Source organism: Homo sapiens, chromosome 7 (assembly GCF_000001405.40).
Source record: "Homo sapiens chromosome 7, GRCh38.p14 Primary Assembly".
NCBI lineage: Eukaryota > Metazoa > Chordata > Mammalia > Primates > Hominidae > Homo > Homo sapiens.
In genome coordinates, this window is record NC_000007.14 from 23,894,693 (window position 1) to 23,896,213 (window position 1,521).

A 1,521-nucleotide genomic window follows, 5' to 3' on the forward strand; every position below is an offset into this window, starting at 1 on the left:
GACATTTCCCAGATGTGGTTTGTGGTCGGATGCCCCTGTGGCTTTAGATCAGCATTTTCTAGATACTGTTTCTGAGTCTTTTAAATTTCAAAGGACATCAAGATTGGGCCGTGTGAGCTTTTCCGCTAAGCTGCCTCACTCTATACTCACTTTATATCTCTGGCTTTTTTTTTTCCTCGTACTCTGCACTGCTCCCTCCCTACCCATCTCCTAATTTGGGTTTCTCTGTTATCTCCTTATGCATGGCACTGCTTCTTTCAGTAGAAATAAATAAATAATGCACAACTTCCAATTTATAAATAATACATTCTCAAACTAAGATAAATTTTTTTTCACTTCAGACATAATTTGCCAACATGGAGTCATAACAAGATTCGAGGGAGGCACTTCTCACACATGAGCGTGAAAACCCAATCATCACGCTCTTGAACCACAAAAGGATGGAGATGAAATTTTTTTGAAACATGTAAAAGTAGAAAGAAAAAATTTAAAAAATCCATTCTAATATAAAAAATGACCCTCTCCTTCCTGAATCTTTTTATTAGATGTTGACTAGATGCTGGCATTTCATTTATAAAAGTAAGCATGTCAAATGCCTACAGGCAAGGGCAGCTTTATAACCAAGGGAAACAGTGGGTGCAATGGAAAGAGTGGAGACTGATCTGGGTCTGAAACCCAGCACAGCCACATCCTGGCCATGACTTTGGGCAAGTAATTTATCCTCTGTCGGCCTCAATGAGTAAAGTAGGAGTAGAAAATATGTTTCTTGGGAGTATTAAATGTTAGACTAAAAGCTATGCAAGGTGAGCCTTTCACAGGGAAGATGTTCAACAAATACTTGTGCAATGATAATATAATTTAAAAGTTAGAAAAATAGGCTGTGAGGGAAGTGTAGGCAATGGGAGCACTTAGGACTGGAGTGAGGGAGGGCTGTGAGGAAGAATCAGCTTGGCAGACGAATTTCTAGGGCACATCTGATTCCACCCAGGAGGCTCACTTTGCTGCTGCAAAAACCCCGGAAGTGTGGAGCCCCCAATGCTGATTCATCTGAGAAATCGTCCCTGACTATCCTGCCCTTGTAGAGCAGGGAATTTTTTTTCCCCTCTCTGCTCCTGCAGCACTTTGTGGCTTTTTAATGAATTTATCACATTATAAAATCTTTTAAAAATTGATAGCTGGATTCCTTACATGCCTGTGAATTTCTCTAGGGTAGGGATAACACCACACTCATCTTTGTATCCTCAGAGGTGCCCAGCCCGGTTTGTTAGACGTCGGGGTAGATGGATATGTCCATGTATGGTGCACATTATCATCAGTGCAAATAAAGCTTTGCTGACTCAGAATGTTTGGAGGCGTGTGGGTTTCTTTTTGCAGGAGTTGCTGGGGAGAGACTGTGGTGTAGCAGAAAGAAGGAAGGACAGACTCTAGAATGGAGAGATGCTATGTTCTGATTAGTTAAATTTTCTCTACATTTAAAGTATACACAAATATCCCTTTTGGTTTCAGCCCTCATTCAATGTT

The 1,521-nt window shown here is 40.8% G+C and overlaps 1 non-coding gene across 1 annotated transcript; it reads right to left on the bottom strand.

The window, feature by feature from the left end:
• Positions 1-335: 335 nt before the first annotated feature.
• LOC124901835 (small nucleolar RNA U13) lies at positions 336-442 on the bottom strand. Its single transcript, XR_007060671.1, has one exon. It is a non-coding gene; the product is annotated as a small nucleolar RNA U13 (small nucleolar RNA).
• Positions 443-1,521: the final 1,079 nt, after the last annotated feature.